The sequence below is a fragment of the Homo sapiens genome, chromosome 10 (assembly GCF_000001405.40).
Source record: "Homo sapiens chromosome 10, GRCh38.p14 Primary Assembly".
In the NCBI taxonomy this organism is placed as follows: domain Eukaryota; kingdom Metazoa; phylum Chordata; class Mammalia; order Primates; family Hominidae; genus Homo; species Homo sapiens.
This window is the reverse complement of record NC_000010.11, coordinates 63,520,658-63,539,858: the sequence shown is the minus strand read 5'-3', so window position 1 is coordinate 63,539,858 and position 19,201 is coordinate 63,520,658. Positions and strand designations below refer to the sequence as shown.

General features: G+C 40.4%; 2 protein-coding genes across 10 annotated transcripts in view, besides 1 other annotated feature; one reads left to right on the top strand and one right to left on the bottom strand.

Moving 5' to 3' along the window:
- REEP3 (receptor accessory protein 3) overlaps positions 1-18,458 on the bottom strand; it is a 103,728-nt gene extending 85,270 nt beyond the window's left edge. For all 3 annotated transcript variants that reach the window (NM_001001330.3, XM_011539501.3, XM_017015896.2), the window contains exon 1: positions 18,282-18,458. In NM_001001330.3, the coding sequence (NP_001001330.1) occupies positions 18,282-18,313 (32 nt within the window). In that variant the 5' untranslated portion in view covers positions 18,314-18,458. The remainder of the gene's footprint in view (positions 1-18,281) is intronic.
- Positions 17,773-18,822: a silencer, noted in NCBI's record as "silent region_2409". NCBI's record gives its function as "represses an Ori minimal core promoter by ATAC-STARR-seq in GM12878 lymphoblastoid cells {active_cell/tissue: GM12878}" and the evidence as "EXISTENCE:reporter gene assay evidence [ECO:0000049][PMID:35858748]".
- The window catches only part of JMJD1C (jumonji domain containing 1C), a 354,666-nt gene continuing 353,433 nt past the window's right edge, over positions 17,969-19,201 (top strand). For all 7 annotated transcript variants that reach the window (XM_017015897.2, NM_001322258.2, NM_001318154.2 and 4 more), the window contains exon 1: positions 17,969-18,121. The gene's annotated coding sequence lies outside the window, so the exon portion shown is untranslated. The remainder of the gene's footprint in view (positions 18,122-19,201) is intronic.

The window sequence follows — 19,201 nt, the reverse complement described above, 5'->3', positions numbered from 1 at the left end:
CCTGGAGAGTTTTTTTAAGAAAAAAAGTATGTCCAGGTGCCATCCCAAATCAGTTAAATCAGAATCTTTGGCAATGAAGTCTGAGAAAGGGTTTTTAAAGCTTTTAAATATGGTATAATACTTTGTAAGCTCTAATTCTAAATGAAGAACCCAAAGCGTCTCTATGACAATGGATAATCTTAATTTATCATGTGTTCAGTAACAGTGAACATAATTTTAACATTTTTTTAAAGAGATGGGGTCTTGCTATGTTGCCCAGGCTGATCTCGAACTGCTAGGCTCAAGAAATACTCCCACCTCAGCCTCCTGAGTAGCTGTGACCATAGGTACACACCACTGTACCTGGATTCTTAAGATTTTCTAAGAGCTTAAAGTTACATGAAAAATATATGGTCTATCAACCATGTTTCTCAAATTAAATGACAGCATCAATTTCCAACATTGGTAAAGCTATAAAACTGCTCTTCTGGCTCAAAGCTATAATTTTAAATTACCCCATCTTACAAAATTCAAAGGGTCAGTATGGTTAGAAAATTTTGCCTGTTTATCAGAAAGTTTTAGGATTGGTTTGACAGATTAAATGTTACCAAAACATAAGACCCTAATAAACCTATAGTTAAACAAGAATCTGGTTAGGAGTAAAAGAAGTAAATGGCCACTGATTTCAGGGCCCATCTGTAGACTAGCATTCTTCATACAAAAAAAAAAAGTGTTATTTAACCTAAAGTTGGCAATCTGTTGGTATTTCGGGCAACTGTAGGAGTGCAGTATAGGTATAGATAACTTTTGAAGTGAAATCTAGTAAATTTAGTTACTTTGCATTCTTTAACTAGAAATCTTTGTGAACAGATCTGCAAATCTACTAGCTAATGTCTCACGGTTATGTTCTTGAGGGGCAGTGAGGCTGTGAATGTCCTCTACTGATCAAGTGAGCACAGCACATGGAATGACAAGGAAGCAAGGGGATAGTCTCACAGGCCAAATAAATCCTGGCTATCAGTAGGTGACAGATGTCTTAGCCAGATCACCCCCACAGCAATGTTGACCACATGGAAAACACACATGGAAAATTCACCATTTAATAATGTTCATTTTCCTCATCTTTATTTATTTATTTATTTTTTTGAGATGGAGTCTCGCTCTGTCGCCCAGGCTGGAGTGTAGTGGCTTGATCTTGGCTCACGGCAACCTCTGCTTCCTGGGTTCAAGCGATTCTCCTGCCTCAGCCTCCCGAGTATCTGGGATTACAGGCACGTGCCACCACATCCAGCTAATTTTTGTATTTTTAGTAGAGACAGGGTTTTGCCATGTTGGCCAGGCTGATCTTGAACTCCTGACATCAGGTGATCCGCCCGCCTTGGCCTCCCAAAGTGCCAGGATTATACATGTGAGCCACCGCACCCGGCCCGTTTTCCTCGTCTTATATAAATGACACTCTGTGTGCATCAAGAATCAGAGCTGCACATCAAGTATAAAATGTTAATATTAGATGTTATCTCCCACTGATAGGTTTAGAACCATCCAGATTCTGGGCTAATGTTATTTTCTTACTAATTATGGGGAATTGCTGTGAAATATCACTCAAAAATTTAAATTACTCTTATGTAGGTATTAGGGAGTTTCAAGCAATGTGACATTTTTGATAGGCTAAACTAACAAAATAGGCAAGAAATATCATGAAAAATAAGAAGCAGAAGCTGTGGAGTGAAGAATATTATTCTACATTTCAATATCAACACTATCTCTTAGGCCTGTCTTAAACTGGAAGGAGCTATAGTGCAGGCACATTAATTTACACATTTTTTAGACATTTTCTTTTTATAGCAATATCCCATGTATCAAATGAATAGACAAGAAAACAACTGTTATCTGAATAGACAAGAAATCAATGGGGGTCGGGGGGGGAAGAAAGCTTTTAAGTGGCTATCTATGTATGTACCTCCAGAACCTCAAAAATCCCTTGGGTAAATAAGAAATTGGACATTCTTCTTTGGATTCATACCAGCTTTGAGAAAAAGAAAGGACAAGAGACAGCCTGCCTGGCGATTTCATAGAGGTTCTGGCCTTCTGTTCACATACTCATCATGACAGGTGCAGCCCCTTCCCTGCCTCCATCTGTGGCCTGGCTCAGCACTGAAACTGGCCTCTACACCAGGAAGAAGCATATGGGCTGGGACAGGATCAGCCTCTCCTTTCCGTTGCTACCTGCTCCCTGCTTCTCTAAGCTCGCCCCTTTAGTTACTGTAGATATCTTGGTCCTGACTCACTGCAAGTGTTAAACATGTTTTTAATGTAATCATTGATTAAAGGAAAAGAATATATGACACACACTTCTAAGTTATGAAGCACACACAGTAAAATGAGCCCAGTGAATCCGGCATCCAACTTAAGAAGCAGAATATCAAATATCATTGTTCCAGATCCCTCTCCTCTCCCAGACTCTCAGAGCTAACCCCTATCCTATAATTTATCATTATTGTCTTTTCTGAAAAATAGACTTGCTAAATATATATATGTGTGTATGTATACATTACTAAACTATACATTGTTCAGTTTTGCCTATGGTAGGGCCTTTAAAATGCTATCATACCATAGGTAATCATATCTGGCTTGCTTTAAAAAAAACAAAACACAAACACTATAACTTTCCTAACGGTCATCCAAGTTGAGGCTTCTAAGTAGTAGTTCCTGTTGTATAATATTCCATTTTGTACATAAACCAATGTTTACTTACCAATTCTTCTGTCCACGTAAACTATTATTTTTCATAGACTTTTGCTTTAAGGATTTTCCTATAAATATCCTTGCAAATGTCTTTTGATGCATATGCCAAATTTCTTTGATGGTACATAGCTAGTTGTGGGATTGCTGGGTTATAGGGTATGTGAGTGATTAACACTATAAGTTAGGGCCAAATTGTTTTCCAAAGCAGTTCCAGCATCTTACTCTCCTACTGGCATCATGAAAAGGATCCTGTTGCTGTACACATCTTTGCCAACACTTGGTATTTTCAGACTTCTTAATTTTTGCAATCTAGTAAGTGTGAAATGGAATTTCAATGTGGTTGTAATTTACATTTTCTTGAAAACTAATGAGTTTTGTCTATCTTTTTATATGTCTAGTTGCCATTGGTTTCCTCTTCTATGAGATACCAGTTCATTTGTCCACTTTTCTTTTTAGGTTAATTTTTTTTCTTACTGATTTTAAAGAATTCTTTTTATCTTCTGATTATTATACTTTATTAGTTATCTAAGCAATGTAACTGTTGACGTTTTTTACTCTCACTGGGCAACAATCCTAGTGCTGGCTTCTCCCATTGCACCCTCCTTCCTTGCCCCAAGTTAGAAAGGAATTGAGAAAACAGCAATATGAGTTTCTAATTAGCTTTTAAAATTCTATATCCTGAGGATATTTTAAATAATTTAGATACTTTTCACATAGAGAGAGATAAAATTATTATCAGGAATGGTGAATGTAATAGAAATGGACATTCAACCACCACTGTGGATAATAACTGAATCTTGATAGGGTGATGATATGTGAGTGTACACATCTGATGAAACACATAGAAATTATTATATATAAATTCTATCTCAACAAGGAGGATTTAAAATAACAGGTGTAAATTATAGCACATTAAGGTCTATGTCCGGAGCTCAACTGCCATATAGCTTTGCTACTTGGCAGCTGTGTGACCACTTTGGGAAGTTATTTCACATTTCTAAGCCTGAGGTTTCTCATTGGTGAAATGAACATAACAGCAGTACCTGTGTCATGAAGATGGTTGTGAAACAGAAACAAATTAGTTTGAAACTGCTTAGAATAATGCCTGATGCAGAATGAGCATCAGATACATGGTAGGCTATAAAACATGTAGACAAATGTTATCTGTTGCTTCCTCTATGGTTTGTTGTAGGGTCTGAAAAATTCTTCTCTACCAAATTGTGATATTCTCCTACCTTTTCTTCCAAAAGTTTAAGTGCTGTACTTTTTACACTTGGGCAGATAATACATTTACGATTTATTTTTGAGTCTGCTGTGTAGTAAAGATCTTTATTTTTTAATTTTTTTTTCTGAGAGATAACCAATTATCACAACACTATTTATTAAGTTAGGTATACTTTCCCATTGATTTTGAATTCTACCACTGTCATATCAGATTCTTTGCAAGCTTGGGTTAATTTCTGGATTTGTTACATGTTCTATTAAGTCTACTGTCAATCACAGCAACAATACTACAAGGTTGTAATTCCTACATTATAATAAATCATGACATGTAATAGTGAAAGTTTTTATTCCTTTTTCTTCACAGTTGTCTTCTTGATTCTGGGGCTTTTGCTCTTTCATATGAACTTTATAGGTAATTAGCCTATCAGGTTCCATGAAAACAACAATAAAAATCCTGTTGGAATTCCATTAAATTTATAGACTTTTTAGGAGATGAACTGATAATCATTAATTAATATTGACCCATTAACATAAACTATACATTTATTCAGATATCCTTTTATCTTTCAATCATGTTTTATACTTTATAGTTCTTTTCCTTCCAGTATTTTAGTCTGTCTTTTAACAGGAAGATAAAATTTGTTGATATTTATTGTTATTATTGATATATTTGAACCCATTTCTACCATCTTTTTTTCCCCTTATGTCTCTCTCACCTACTTGACCCCTTTATTTTGGCCTTCTGTATCTCTTTAGCCTCCTTTCCTCTCTTCTGTTAGTTTTGAAACAATAGATTATATTTCTAATCTTTAAAAATTATTATTTCTCTTCACATGACAGAGACCATACCATTCTCTTCCTACTTTTATTGAGAATGAAGGAAAAAGAAAAACCCAGAGATAAAGGTGAGGAAAGAATAAAAGAGAAGCCAAGTGACAGTGATGGCATACTTTGCAGTGGGAGAGCATAATTTTAGACCTCAAAGGAAAAACTGACTGCTTTCCTTTCTCATACAGTTCCTGCCCTCATCATACACTTAAAAAGTGTGTCTAGGCAGTGTCACTTGTAGGGTTATAGGTCATTTCATTTTCAGTATTTCCTTTATATTTATCAGTCATTCAGGAACTCAAGGTCTCTATTGTAACCATTACTTTTAAAATGGCTTACTATCCTATATTTTTCTGATCCTAGTTTTAGGTGAGCTATTTTAGTTAAAGCACTGTAAGACTTTGTCACCAGCAAAAATCTGAGGCAATTGGGTACAGATTTACACAGAGACAATACATCTGTATCTTAAACTTATAGGAAACCAATTGAAACAAGGCAGTATTTGCATCCTATTTACCACATAAAATATTCAAAACTGGTTGTAGTGGCTCACGCCTGTAATTCCATCACTTTGGGAGACCAAGGAAGGAGGATCACTTGAGGCCAGAAGTTTAAGAACAGTCTGGGCAACATAACAAGGCCCTATCTCTACAAAATATAAAAAATTAGCTGGATGTGGTGGTGTGTGCTTATAGTTCTAGCTACTTAGGAGGTGGAAGCAGGAAGATCGCTGGAGCCCAGGGATTTGAGGTTACAGTGAACTATGACTGTGCCACTGCACTCTAGCCTGAGCAACAGAGGGAGACCCTGTCTCTAAAAAACAAAAAAAAAATAAAAAATAATAATACTTCAAGATATAACATCTAGAAATTCTTAAGAATTATTTCATCATAATAAGCATAATCTTTGTGGACAAAAAAGTTTATTTCCAATTTAAATTTCTCATTTTTACTTAGCAAGGAAAGATCAGGTTTTTTTTAGAATATCTCTACACAGAACTTTCTGACTATTTTTCTCATATAACTTTATTTCACACCTTAATATTTTCAGGTTCTTTAAGATTTACATACTTCCAGGGCAAGCGCGGTGGGTCATGTCTGCAATCCCAGCACTTTGAGAGGCCGAGGTGGGCAGATCACCTGAGGTCAGGACTTTGAGACCAGCCCGGCCAACATGGTGAAACCTTGTCTCTACCAATAATACCAAAAATTAGCTGGCATGGTGGTGGGCGCCTGTAACCCCATCTACCTGGGAGGCTGAGGTAGGAGAATTGCTTGAACCCGGGAGGCGGAGCTTGCAGTGAGCTGAGATCGCGCCACTGCACTCCAGCCTGGGAGACAGAGCGAGACTCCGTCTCAAAAAAAAAAAAAAAGATTTACATACTTCCAAGGCTCTTTCATGTGGACTTATATAGGTATATCTTTAAAGAGTACTTTCATTCACTCACGATCCATTAAACATCCTAAAACCATTATCATTTCTATTTACAAAATTAACTTAGGTATACAAAGTTAAAACAGAAAGTCCCTATATTTCAGAAAACCAGAAAAAAACTACGGTTGATGAAAATTAATAACCAAAAATATAATGCAAATAAAAAGGACTGAATGAACAACTTGGAAGTGTGTTCAGCAATAGTGAGATTGATCAGCTTCCTAAGCAGAAAATAAAGACCACAGCCACAAACCAGTGAAGAACTGATCATGACAATAACGGTATCCATTAGGCAAATATCACCAAATATTCTATTTTATTTCCATATCTGCACTTTCTTCATGTCAACACTCAAGAACGACTAGGCTTGTTGTTCCTGTGGGCCTCTCCAAGAGTCAGTTTGCCCACTTCACAGTTTTGGTGAAAGTGCATTCCACATTTTCTATCTGATCCTCCACAGGAAGCATACAAGCAGTATAGTTTAAGATCTTCAACTAGGGTTCTACCCTGCCTTTATGCCTCTAGTGATGGTATACACACTGCACTCATGATGTTGGCAGTTTCAAAGTTGAACAATTTTAGACGTTATAAAGTTTTCCTCAATATATGGAATAAAACTGGCTTCCTTATAAGACCTACCTTTAACCTTGGATTCACAATAACAGAAAAATCTGTCCCCCTTCCCCATGTGATGACTCTAAGACAGTTAGTTTGTTCGACATTTTTTCTCCTCTTCTTTTTTATGAGACAGGGTCTCGCTCTGTCGCCCAGGCTGGAGTACAGTGGCACGATCCTAGCTCACTGCAGCCTTTACCTCCTGGGCTCAAGGGATCCTTCCACCTCAGCCTTCTGAGTACTGAGTAGCTGGGACTGCAGGCGCATGCCATCATGCCCGGCTAATTTTTGTACTTTTTGTAGAGACAGGGTTTCACCATGTTGCCCAGGCTGGTGTGGAACTCCTGAATTTTTTTTTCTCCTTTTCTTTTTTTTTTTTTGACGGAGTCTCGCTCTATCGCCCAGGCTGGAGTGCAGTGGCGCGATCTTGGCTCACTGCGAGCTCCGCCTCCTGGGTTCACGCCATTCTGCCTCCCTTCGAGTAGCTGGGATTACAGGCGCCCGCCAACACGCCCGGATAATTTTTTGTATTTTTAGTAGAGACAGGGTTTCACCGTGTTAGCCAGGGTGGTCTTGATCTCCTGGCCTCATGATCCACCCACCTCGGCCTCCCAAAGTGCTGGGATTACAGCACTTTATTTCTTTATTTATAGGTGAGAATAATTCTTTCCTAAAATGAACACATCATTACTTGAAAGTGTTAATGCTCTCGGTATTAATATATCTGAATATTTCCTAAGATTATGTTTTGAATTATTGGTTAGCATAAACCTATTTTGTTTAGATTTGTCCTATGACTTTTACTTTTATGATTTCCTTGATAGTTTTGATTCTGCAGAGTCAATGACACTGTTAATAGTTAGGAAAAGCAACATAGTGATAACCTTCAGCTCTGTATTCTAATCCTAATGTCTTAATCAATTCTAAGACCAGGAAAAACTATAACTTGTAAGTCATACTTCATTTACAGGCTAAAAAATATGGATTATAACACCTGATGTGCAGAATACGTGAGTATAAAAATATTTGCAAAGTGTACTATATCAGTATTTTTCATCAATTTTTAGAAATTCTCTGTAAACATAGGAATTTTGAAATAATAAAGATTGTGACAGATTGATCAGCAACAGTAATTTCTTTTCTACAAGTAGCAACAGTATTTTTATATAGAATATTCTTAAGCCAGAGCTATCCTAAGATACTTGTGAATTTCCAAATATCATTATAGAATTTCTCTCATAAAATACATAGAAGCAGCAAATAGAAAATAGCACAGCCATTTTCAGGTGGAGATGCTGAGCGGACTATATCTCGTAAAGGATCACTTCAACAGAACTCTGCGATGATAAAAATGTTCTATTTTTATGCTGCCCAGTAAGGTAGCACAGAATAAGATAAGCATTCACATAGCTACTGAGCACTTGAAATGTGGCTAGTGTATTGAGAAATTTAATTTTTAATTAATTTACATTTAAATAGCCACACATAACCATATGAGATAGCACAGTTTTTAGCCTCATGCCCTCTCCATATATATTTTTCTTCCCTTTTTACTTAACACAGTGGTTCCCAACCAGTGGCAGTTTTGCCCACTAGGTGACATATGTCAATTCCATATCTGGAGCCATTTTTGGCTGTCACAACTGGTGGATGCTGCTAAACATCCCACAATGCACAGGAGAGTCTCCCACAACAGAGAATTATCCACTTAAAAATATGAATAATGCTGAGGTTAAGAAACTGTGATATATTAAAACATCTTCAAATGAAATGAAAAGTACTTTGAAAATAATTATGAATGGCTATATAACATTCTAACGTTAGCTGGTCTGCTCATTACATAAAATAATCTCTAACCACTGTTGGATAATTCCATCCTGATTGCTACTGTTTTCCCTGTTCACAGTGTTTTAGTGAGTATGCCATCTCGCCTGATTTTCAGTCATAGTGGCCTCTGTAAATATAACAACATGAACGAAACTGGTAAATTTACTTCAGTAATAGGGGTAAGTATGCATAAACCCTTAACAGTTAGTTTTGTAAACATGAACAATTTTATAACAAAAATTTTTATCTTTAACCTCTCATTTACCTCAAAAGTTGTATGAAAGGATTAGTTTAGTGCAAATGTGTAATCAATGACATAAAAATAAGTTCATGTTGTTATGAATCAACAGTAACCTTTTTCCATGAAATGATCAAAACAATAACATCTTTTAAGATATTTAAAATACCCATTTATGCCACTATTGTTGTAATGTACCATTTATTTGAACAGTTTCATCTATACTTAAAGTACATAATATAAAAATCTCCATCCTAAAAGGGTTTAAAATATAGTGGAAAAAGAAATAGCTAACAGAGCAACAGTAACAAAAAATGGACAAAAGCAAATTGTTTTTGAAATGCAGGCTAATAAAGGAATCTTGTTGGAAGTTCTAGCCCATGCAGTGAAAACAAGACCCAATAGTTTAGAATGTGTTTTCTTTCTTAATGAAAGAAGACAGAAAAGATGACCTCTTACAGGGCATTTCCTACATATATTTTTAAAATGTCAACCTTTTAATTTTCTTGAAAACATCATTGTTCCTATTTACCTGATTTCTCATTGTCTAATAGCAATGTATCTTATTCTTAGATACAACTCATGAACATGTAAGCTATTCACAATGGATCTCATAAAAAATGGTAAATAAAGACAAAATCTACCTTAACCTAATTGAAAGAAAATATTTTAGCTATCATTGAGATTTTACAACCAGTTAAAAAATTTAAAGCACATATAAAGGAAGAAAAATATCACTCATATAATTGTGACTGCCTTCAAACTTCCATAAGGATTTAAAAATGAGGATTTTTTCATTAATCCTATCATAAACTTAACAAACATATACCCTAACAAATGGTACATTCTCTTGCTATATTATAGCAAAGATGAATATAAAAATGACATTCATCAGGGCGCAGTGGCTCATGCTAGTAATCCCAGCACTTGAGGAGGCCAAGGCAGGTGGATCACCTGAGGTCAGGAGTTGAAGACCAGCCTGGCCAACATGGTGAAACGCTGTCTCTACTAAAAATACAGAAATTAGCAGGGCATGGTGGTGGCCACCTGTAATCCCAGCTACTCGGGAGGCTGAGGTAGGAGAATTGCTTGAACCCAGGAGGTGGAGGTTGCATTGAGCCGAGATTGCGCCATTGCACTCCAGCCTGGGCAACAAGAGCAAAACTCCTCAGTCTCAAAAAAAAAAAAAGAATCACATTCATGGCCGGGGCAGTGGCTCACAGCTGTAATCCCAGCACTTTGGGAGGCCAAGGTGGTAGGAATGCTTGAGGCCAGGAGTTGGAGACCAGCCTGGGCAATATGGCAAGACCCTCATCTCTACAAAAGTAAAATAAAAAAATTAGCTGGGTGTGGTAGTGCATGCCTCTAGTCCTGGCTACCTGGGAGGCTGAGGTAGGAGGATTGCTTGAGCTCAGGAGTTTGAGGCTCCAGTGAACCAGGATCATGTCACTGCACTGTACTCCAGCCTGGATGACAGAGTGAAACCCTGTCTCTAAAATAAATAAATAAATAAAATAAATAAAAGAATGACATTCACTTCCAGTCATATTATTCTGTTTTCTTTCCTATATTTGTTAAGGTATCCAATCCTACTTCCCTATCTATCTCCAGAACAATTTTAGCTAGGTTACCAAGGTTTAAAGAGATTGTTTTTAGTAACAGTACAAATGCAGAGCCTTTTCTCTTTTCCCTATCTGGAATAAGTGTGTCTGGAAAGAGGCTCATTAGTGAAAAAAACTTTATTCAATGCTGAGATCCTTTCAGTCTCTCTTTCCAAATAATTCATTCACTGCAGCTTTCATGAGAAAAATTAATTGTGAAATAAGCTCTGGAGGAGGGAAAAAAAGGCAGTCCCCAAATTCATGAGGCATAATATTTACTATCAATAGTTCTGTGATTTATAGTTCACATTCATTTTTTTCATTCTCTTACTGCGGAAAATATTTATTGAGCTTCTTTTGTGTGCAATGAACATATTAGAGAAAAGACTTCTCTCATGGAGACTATTTTCTAGTTGGAGAGGACAGATGATAGGTTAAAGAAGTGAAGTACCAAATACTACAGACAACGGAGCGGGGAAGGAAAGCAGGAGTGCTGGGGTCACTGAGAAAGTGAACACCTGAAGGAAGCGAGGGAATGAGGCAGGAGGGTATCTGTGGGAAGTGCACTGAGGCAGGGGCCATCAAGTGCCCAGGCTCTCAGGTCTTACCTGGAGATCACAGATCTCCACTGTGTTGGAGATCACTGTGGCTGGAGTTATAATGGCAGCGGGCAGGTAGAGACAAAGGTTTGAGATGGAAAAAAGTCCAGATCATGTCCTGTTTGTAGACCATCATAAGGACCTGGCTTTCCTGAGTGAGGCAGGAAGTCATCTGAGGGTTGTGAGCAGACGAGTCACATGACTTGACTTGGGTTTCAACAGGACTATTTTGGCTGCTGTTGAGGAGGGACAAGGGCAGACACAGGACACTATGCCACTACAACACATTTCAGAGATGATGCTGGCTTGGACTAGAATGGTGTATGTAAAGGTGGTGAGTACAGGATGTATTTTGAAAGCAGAGTCAACAAGATTTGCGGATTCAATGTAGGGAACTAGAGAAAGAGAGGAATCAAGGATGGTATGATCCCAAGGTCTTTGGCCTGAGCTGCTAGTAGGTGGAGCTGGCATTAACAGAGTGGGGGAAAGCTGCCAGAGGAGCCAGATGGGGAAGGAAGCTCAAGAGCCTAGTTTTGGATGTCTTAAGTTCAGTCTGACTTTCAGATGTTTCCACGTGGAGCAAAGAACGCAGCTGAAAATATGATCACAGAGTTCAGCAGAGAGATCTGGGTTGGAGATGTAAATTAATGGGAATCCTTAAAGGACTACAAATAGAAAAGAGAAAATGGTCTAAGGACTGATCCCCATGACATGCCAACTTTAACAACTTTAAGAAGTCAAGGAACATGGAGAAATGTGCCAGGTAGGCTGAGAAGGGAGTGGCCGTTGAGTTACAAAAACAAAAAAAAAAAAAACAAAAAAAAGCAAGGTTTCTTGGAAACCAAGTGAAGAAAATACTTCAAGGAGAAAGTGAGCAATTGTATCAAAAGCTGCTGATAAGTCAGATGAGGATCAAACAGTTTGGCCAAGTGGCGGTCACTATTGATCTGAGAAGGGCAATTTCAGTGGAGTGGAAGGAGAGAAAAGTCTAAACAAACGTATGGGTTCCAGAGTACCCTGAAGGAAAGAAAGTGAAGATGGTGTATAGACTATCCTTTTTTTAAAAAAATTATTTTTCTTTTTTTTTTGAGACAAGGTCTCACTCTGTTGCCCAGGCTGGAGTGCAGTGGCATGCTCATGGCTCACTGCAGCCTCAACATCCCAGGCTCAAGTGATTCTCCCACTTCAGCATCCACAGTAGCCGGGATTACAGGCATGTACCACCACGCCCAGCTAATTTTTTTGTTTTTTGTATTTTTTGTAGAGATGGGGTTTCACCAGGTTGCCTGGATTGGTCTGGAACTCCTGAGCTGAGGTAATCTATACGCATCAGCCTCCCAAAGTGTTGGGATTACAAGCAAGAGCCACTGTGCCCGGCTTGGACTATTCTTCTGAGGAATTTTTGCTCTAAAGAGACAGAGGGAAATGGGGTGATAAGATGAAAAGTATAGTAGATTAAAAGAGTTTTTTTTTTTAAGATGGGAGAAGTAATAGCATGTTGGTATGCTGTCGAGAAAGATCTAGTAGAGAAGAAAAAAGAGATGAAGCTGAAAAGAAGGGGGAAAGCTGCTGAAGTATGGTTTTTAAGGTGTATAATTTAGCCTTTGAAGACATCCATTATAGCACCCAATATAAATGAAGAGAATCAGAGAAAAATAATTGCGGGTTTTAAGAGTACTGCCAGACAATTAAACTAAGGTAAAACAAAAATGTATTATCATTGTAAAAAAGGGAAATATCGATATATAGAATTGAAAAGGAAGTCTCCAAATTAATCCACTTCTACATAGGAAAGTAGTACTTATCAAATATCTGTAGTATCTAATTTTACATTTAGAAATGATCAAGAAATCACAAAATAAAAAACAAAGAAGGCGAACTATATTAAAACTATAAACTCTCTATGCAACCAAGAATAAAATATCTAAAAGAAAACTGAAATTAGATTGAGAAACACATTTGCATGAAATATCACATAAGGTTAATTCCTTTATTATGTAAAAAGCTCAGACAAAACAAGTAAATTATCAAGTAACCAAGAGATAAATGGGCAAAGTATATACATACTGTATGCATAATATATATAATTAATAAAAATCTGGACAAGCATTCAACTGTGCTGATAAATAAAATACAAAAGAAAACAATGAGATATGTTATATTTATTGGTAAAGTATTAAAAAATTAAAACTTCCGATTCTGGCTACATTGTGATAAAGAAAGTACTCACACATTGCTGCTAGCATGTAAAATATTAATATTCTTTTGGAAAGCAATCTGGCAATTCATATCAATGATCATAAAAATATTCAGTGTTTGACTCAGAAATATTCCTCTTGTATTTTTATCCCAAAGAAGTATGTACTTCAAAAGAAGTATATATAATGTCCATTATAGCATTATAATTGCATTTCAGCATTACTTATAATAATGAAATATTAAAAATTATCTAAATGTAAAATTAAATACAAATAGATGAATGGCTAAGAAAATAATACTGGCCTGATCAAACAGAAGATACTAAATAGGATTTCAGAGCAACATAGAAGATGCTTATAAGATTTCAGAGCAACATAGAAGATGCTTACAATATAATAAAGACTAGTATAACATTTTTACTATACTCTAATTAAAATTATGTTACCTACACACAAAGTGATTCAAACAAAAAATGTATATTGAAGATACTTCAAACATTCAGCATGCTGGGATTTTAGGAGAGCATGTTTTTCCTTTTTCTGATAACTACTACTAGCATTTACTGAATGCTTACTATGTGCCAGATGCTGGACTATGGACATTACATATAGTAATGTATTTAATCCCATGGGGTAGGTTATGACGCATAAATGGCAGAGTTAATAGTTGAATTTGGCAATCTGGCTTTTATCTTGATCTTAATCACAATGCTAGATCATAAAAACAAATTAAGAAAAGTTAGGGAAAAAAATGGAATTTCCCTCAACTTATGAGAGTCATGTTTCAAAAGGTGAGGTGTGGATATCATATATGAATGGAACATCATTGGTAATCTCAAACTACTATCCCTTAAAAATTGGTAACTATTCATGCCTGTAATCCCAGCACTTTGGGAGGCTGAGGTGGGAGGATCACCTGAGGTCAGGAGTTCAAGTCCAGCCTGGCCAACGTGGTGAAACCCCGTCTCTACTAAAAATACAAAAATTAGCTGGGCATGGTAGCACATGTCTGTAATCCCAGCCACTTGGGAGGCTGAGGCAGGAGAACTGCTTGAACCCGGGAGGCGGAAATTGCAGTAAGCCAAGATTGTGCCACTGCACTCTAGCCTGTACACCAAGAGAAAAACTCCGTCTCAAAAAAAAAAAAAGTAACTAATCTGTCAATCTTGCCTGTGATGTTAAAGTAAGCTGAGATTGAACAGACTGTAAGTAATGGAAAAATACTTTCATATCATCACAGAATGCTAAGGCTGGACAAAAGAGCTTGGCGGTTATCAGGTCCCTTTGCCTCTTCTAAGAAATAGAACCAAGGTCTATAATCAGCAAGAGACTGCCTCAGGGTCATTCAGCTGGTTAAGGTAACCAAAGCCAGTTCTGAATTCCAAGTTTCTTGGTAACAATCCAGTGATATTTCTTCCTACACCATTTTACTCACTTCCCTCATAAAAAAGCTATCTATATATCTATTACGTTTTAAGTGCACACTCAATGCCAAGCACCACACTTCCACGTTTTAGTTAAACTAATTTAATCTTTACAACAGTCTTTTTTTTTTTTTTGAGACAGAGTCTTGCTCTGTTGCCCAGGCTGGAGTGCAGTGGCACGATCTCAGCTCACTGCAACCTTTGCCTCCAGGGTTCAAGTGATTCTAGTGCCTCAGCTTCCCTAGTAGCCAGGACTACAGGTGTGCGCCATCACGCCCGGCTAATTTTCTTTACAACGGTTTCATGTGGTATTTATTATAATGACTTAAAGGCAAGAAGACTGAAGCTCAGAAGGGTTTAGCATGCTGCCCAAGACCACGCAGCTGTAAACAGTGGTATCCAGGGCCAGGTGCGGTGGCTCATGGCTGTAATTCTAGCACTTAGCGAGGAAGGTGGGCGGATCACTTGAGGCTAGGAGTTCAAGGCCAGCCTGGCCAATATGGTGAAACCCTGTCTCTACTAAAAATACAAAAAAATTAGCCGGGTGTGGTGGCGTGCACCTATAGTCCCAGCTACTTGGGAGGTTGAGTCATGAGACATGAGAATTGCTTGAATTGGGAGGTGGAGGTTGCAGTGAGTTGAGATCACACCACCGCACTCCAGCGTGGGCGACAGAGAGAGACTCTGTCTCAAAAAAGAAAAAAAAAAGAGTGGTGTCCAGGGCTAATTTCTCTGGTGTTAAAGTGCAGGATCTTGGGACAAAGTGCTTCTACATACAGGGTGCTTTGGTTATGGAGGTTCCCTGCCCATGCTACCAGAGGTTCATGTTGAGAGAAGGGTCTGATCTTGCTCAGGAGGAGGTGGTTGTCTCAGTGGGTTAGAAAGAATCAAGTAAATTCTACCTCCTGGTGTGAAAAAGGTTTCCAAGTTTGTGTAGATCCTGTGATTGCTCTTTCATGTTTAGAGAGAGAAACTGAGTAAAGAGGAAAAATAGAATGATGTTTATATTCTCTACAAGTGTGCTTTCTAATGTGCTAATGTGTTCACGGCTCACAAAATAACAGTTCCTGACACTTGAGAAATACATTTCTTTTCATGACATTTTCTTCCTCACATTATTGCTCCCTGTCGTTAGCCTCAAACCTTACATTCTGTAGCTCAAGTACTTTAACTGGAGAGAGGCTTTAATCCCCTCTCTCCAGTTAGGGAGCCTCCTAAGGAGTCTCCTTGTCTTCCAGGTCTCCATTGCCAATCATTTCACAGAAGGGCAGAGAATCTTCCAAAGCAAAGCTGTTGCTGCCTTATAACATTTACCCCTTCTTTCTTGAAAACAGGCCCCAGGCTACCTTTCCAGCTTGCTTTTTCCCCACCCGAGTCCCTCACGCCCACTGTAACTAATCTGGGCTTTTCCTCCTCTGGGCTTTGGCTCACGCCGGTCCCTATATCTGGAATCCTTTCCTTTTTCATCTTTGGCTGCCTAGATTCTGTCCATTCTTTTTTGTTTTTTTTCTGAGGCACAGTCTCACTCTGTGGCCCAGGCTGGAGTGCAGTGGCACGATCACGGCTCACTGCAGCCTTGACCTCCTGAATTTGAGCGATCCTCCTACCTCAGTCCCTGAGTAGCTGGGATTACAGGTGTGAGCTACTGTGACTAGCTAATTAAATTTTTCTTTTTTTGTGGAGACAAGGTCTCGCTATGTTGCCCAGGCTGGTCTCTAACTCTTGTGATCAAACAATCTTCCCTCCTTGGCCTCCCAAAGTGCTAGGATTACAGGTGTGAGCCACTCTACTGGGCCTATTCTTTAAGGCCCATCTGAAACGTAATCTCCCTTGCCTTTTCTGATTCTCCAACCAGATATCCCTTCCTTGTCCAACACTGGGTATTAGAGTGGGTGTAACTTTTACAAGAGTTGACATTTGGACCTGTACTGCAGATATCTGTGCACCCAAACTGTCAATTCCCATGATCAACTACGTGTTACTGACCTTTGTGTTATAGGTAGCACCTAGAACAGACATTCATATTCATTGGCAATTATGAAAAACAAAAGTCTAAAAGTGCTTCACAATTTTCTGTCAGCTGAAGAACTGGTCAAAGAAATCCAGAGGCTTTTTTTTTTTTTTTTGTAAAGTACAGCTTCTTAATAGGGCACTTGATTTTCTAGGTGTGGACACAACAGTTGATAGACATCTACTAGGTCAAGAAAGGTATGCCTGAATTAGATAAATGACAGACTCAAAAGAGAGGCCAGGAAAAGGCTGAAAAACAATCTGAAGGCATCTGTGGTATCCTTTTGTTTATATCTTGATTTTTAGTTTCGTACAGGGGAACACAGGAAGCTCTGAGGCTTTAAAACTAGAAACTTTGCGATTTAATCAAATGAAAAATTTTGAATGCTGTGCTGCAAATCTGATTAAATAGGGCTAGTAATTCACTTCCAAACAAAATAAACCCCAAACTCAGAAAATCTAGCTCCTTTTAACAAAAAGTCTGGTAATGTTATTTTTCCTAAATTCTAAAGCTTATCAGAGAAGCCTGCCCCCTCACATAAACATTTTTTCATATACCTTTATGAAACCTTCTGAGATAACACTACTACAGAGGTGAATAATGAATTCATAGGCCCTAGCTGTAACTACGTCATTGTTTACTTGGTGACTTTTTTTTTAATCGGGGAGAGGGGTAAAATGGAGATGAGAGAAAATCAGTTTAAACTGTATTCAAATACATTTACACGATTAACACCACCAACTCAAGGAATTTCTTTTTCTTACAGACCTGTAGCACTTGTTGGTAGGAGAACAATGAAATGAACCCATAATTTGAACAAAGGCAACAGGCACCTGCAGCCTTTCAATCACTTAGCAAATATTTCCGCCGAGACAGGGCCGAATTCGGGGATCTGGGCGAGCAGCCGGTGTCACCTTTCTCGGTAAGCTGCAAATCTTGGGAAAACTAGGACCCTTCCCAGGGATCCTGGGCTGGGAGCGGTCTCCGGTTTTTAGACAAATCTCTCCTCCTACCACACGTGACCGAATGGCAATCAGCCGCCAAGAGAGACACCGCAACGCATCAGCCGCGGGATACAAAGGCTCGGCACTGCCGTCGCATCCTCGGGAGGATCGCGGAGCCTCCCGCGCTCGGCGTCTGCGGAGCCTGCGCAGGGAGCAGCTGCGAGGCGCGCCGCTCCCGGGCCCGCAGGGCGGTGCCGCGCTGCGCGGGGAGCAGGAGCGGGGAGCGCGCGCCGCCTGCCCTGAGCGCCTGCCCACCCAGCGCCGCCGGAGCAGGGGCGCCGCGCCGCACCGCACGCAGCCGAGCAGCGCCACAGCCGCCGCCGCCGTCGCAGCCGCAGTCGCCGCAGCTAGGCCCTCGGCCGTCGCAGGGAGCTCCGCAGCGACGTGGACCAAGGTGAGGAAGCCGAGGGCTCCCCCAGACCCTCGGCAGGCCCGAGGCCGGGCTACCCCGTCCCCGCCCAGGCCCAGGCCTTCCCTTTCCTCTCGGCTCCTTCCCCTTCCCACAGCTCCCCTGGGCCTCGCGCCGGCTGCAGGGCGCAGTGAGAGGCACTTACACCACGGCTCTGGAGATCATCCAGGACACCATCTTCACGGGGGCTTGGGCCCCACGTCCGGGGCGGGTGGGCGCAGGGCGCTGCGGACCAGGCCGCCAACGGCAGGCCGCGCGCTTCGCCGGCTCCTCGCGCTCCCCGGGGCCGCGCTGGCGCCCTCAGGAGCCGGGCCCGGTGTGTGCGCGCGGCGGCCTGGGCTGCGCAGAGGTCGGTCCCCCGCCCGTCCCCGCCCGCCCCCGCCCGCCGGCCCGGCAGCCTAGTCCGGACAGCACCCCGCCCCTGCGCTCCGCTGATAGGCGGTGGCGGCGGCGCGTTGGCCCGGGCCAGGGCTGGGGCCAGGCGGCCGGGCTCCAGGGCTGGGCTGGCGGGATCCTAGCCCGCGCTGGACGGCCTCGCTGCCGCGGCCTTGGCCCCTGCGCTCTAACCAACCTTACCCTCCTTAGCTCTTTGGGACGCCCACACTCGCGGCGAGAGTGGGGCAGGAGGCTGAGGAAGGGTACTGGAGGGTAGGGATTGGCAGTGCCTGTGTGAAAAGTGAGATATTCGCAGGAACTCGGTGTCCAATAAAACTCTCGACCAGGCCCTGGTTTTGGAGAGCCAAGACTTTGAGGTGTGCCTGGCCACATCCGGTATCCTCAGTGTTTACGGAGGCCCAGCACCAAAGGCGTCCTTATATTACCACATTTTAAAGGAATCGTCGAGAGGTTCTTGCACAGGCCTCCGTGTGTGCCACGAGTCTCGTGGTGCAATGCAGGGAGGGACAGAGGAGGATTTCATGTTTGCAGTAGTGGGTGCAGTGATACCACTGTTCTGGGCCTCTTAGGGCACCTTTTCATCAGAGCATCTGCAAAGACTGTTTACAGACACGAATCTCCATTATTTCCCTGAGGCCTGCCAGATGTTCAAAGTAAAGGCTGGGTCTA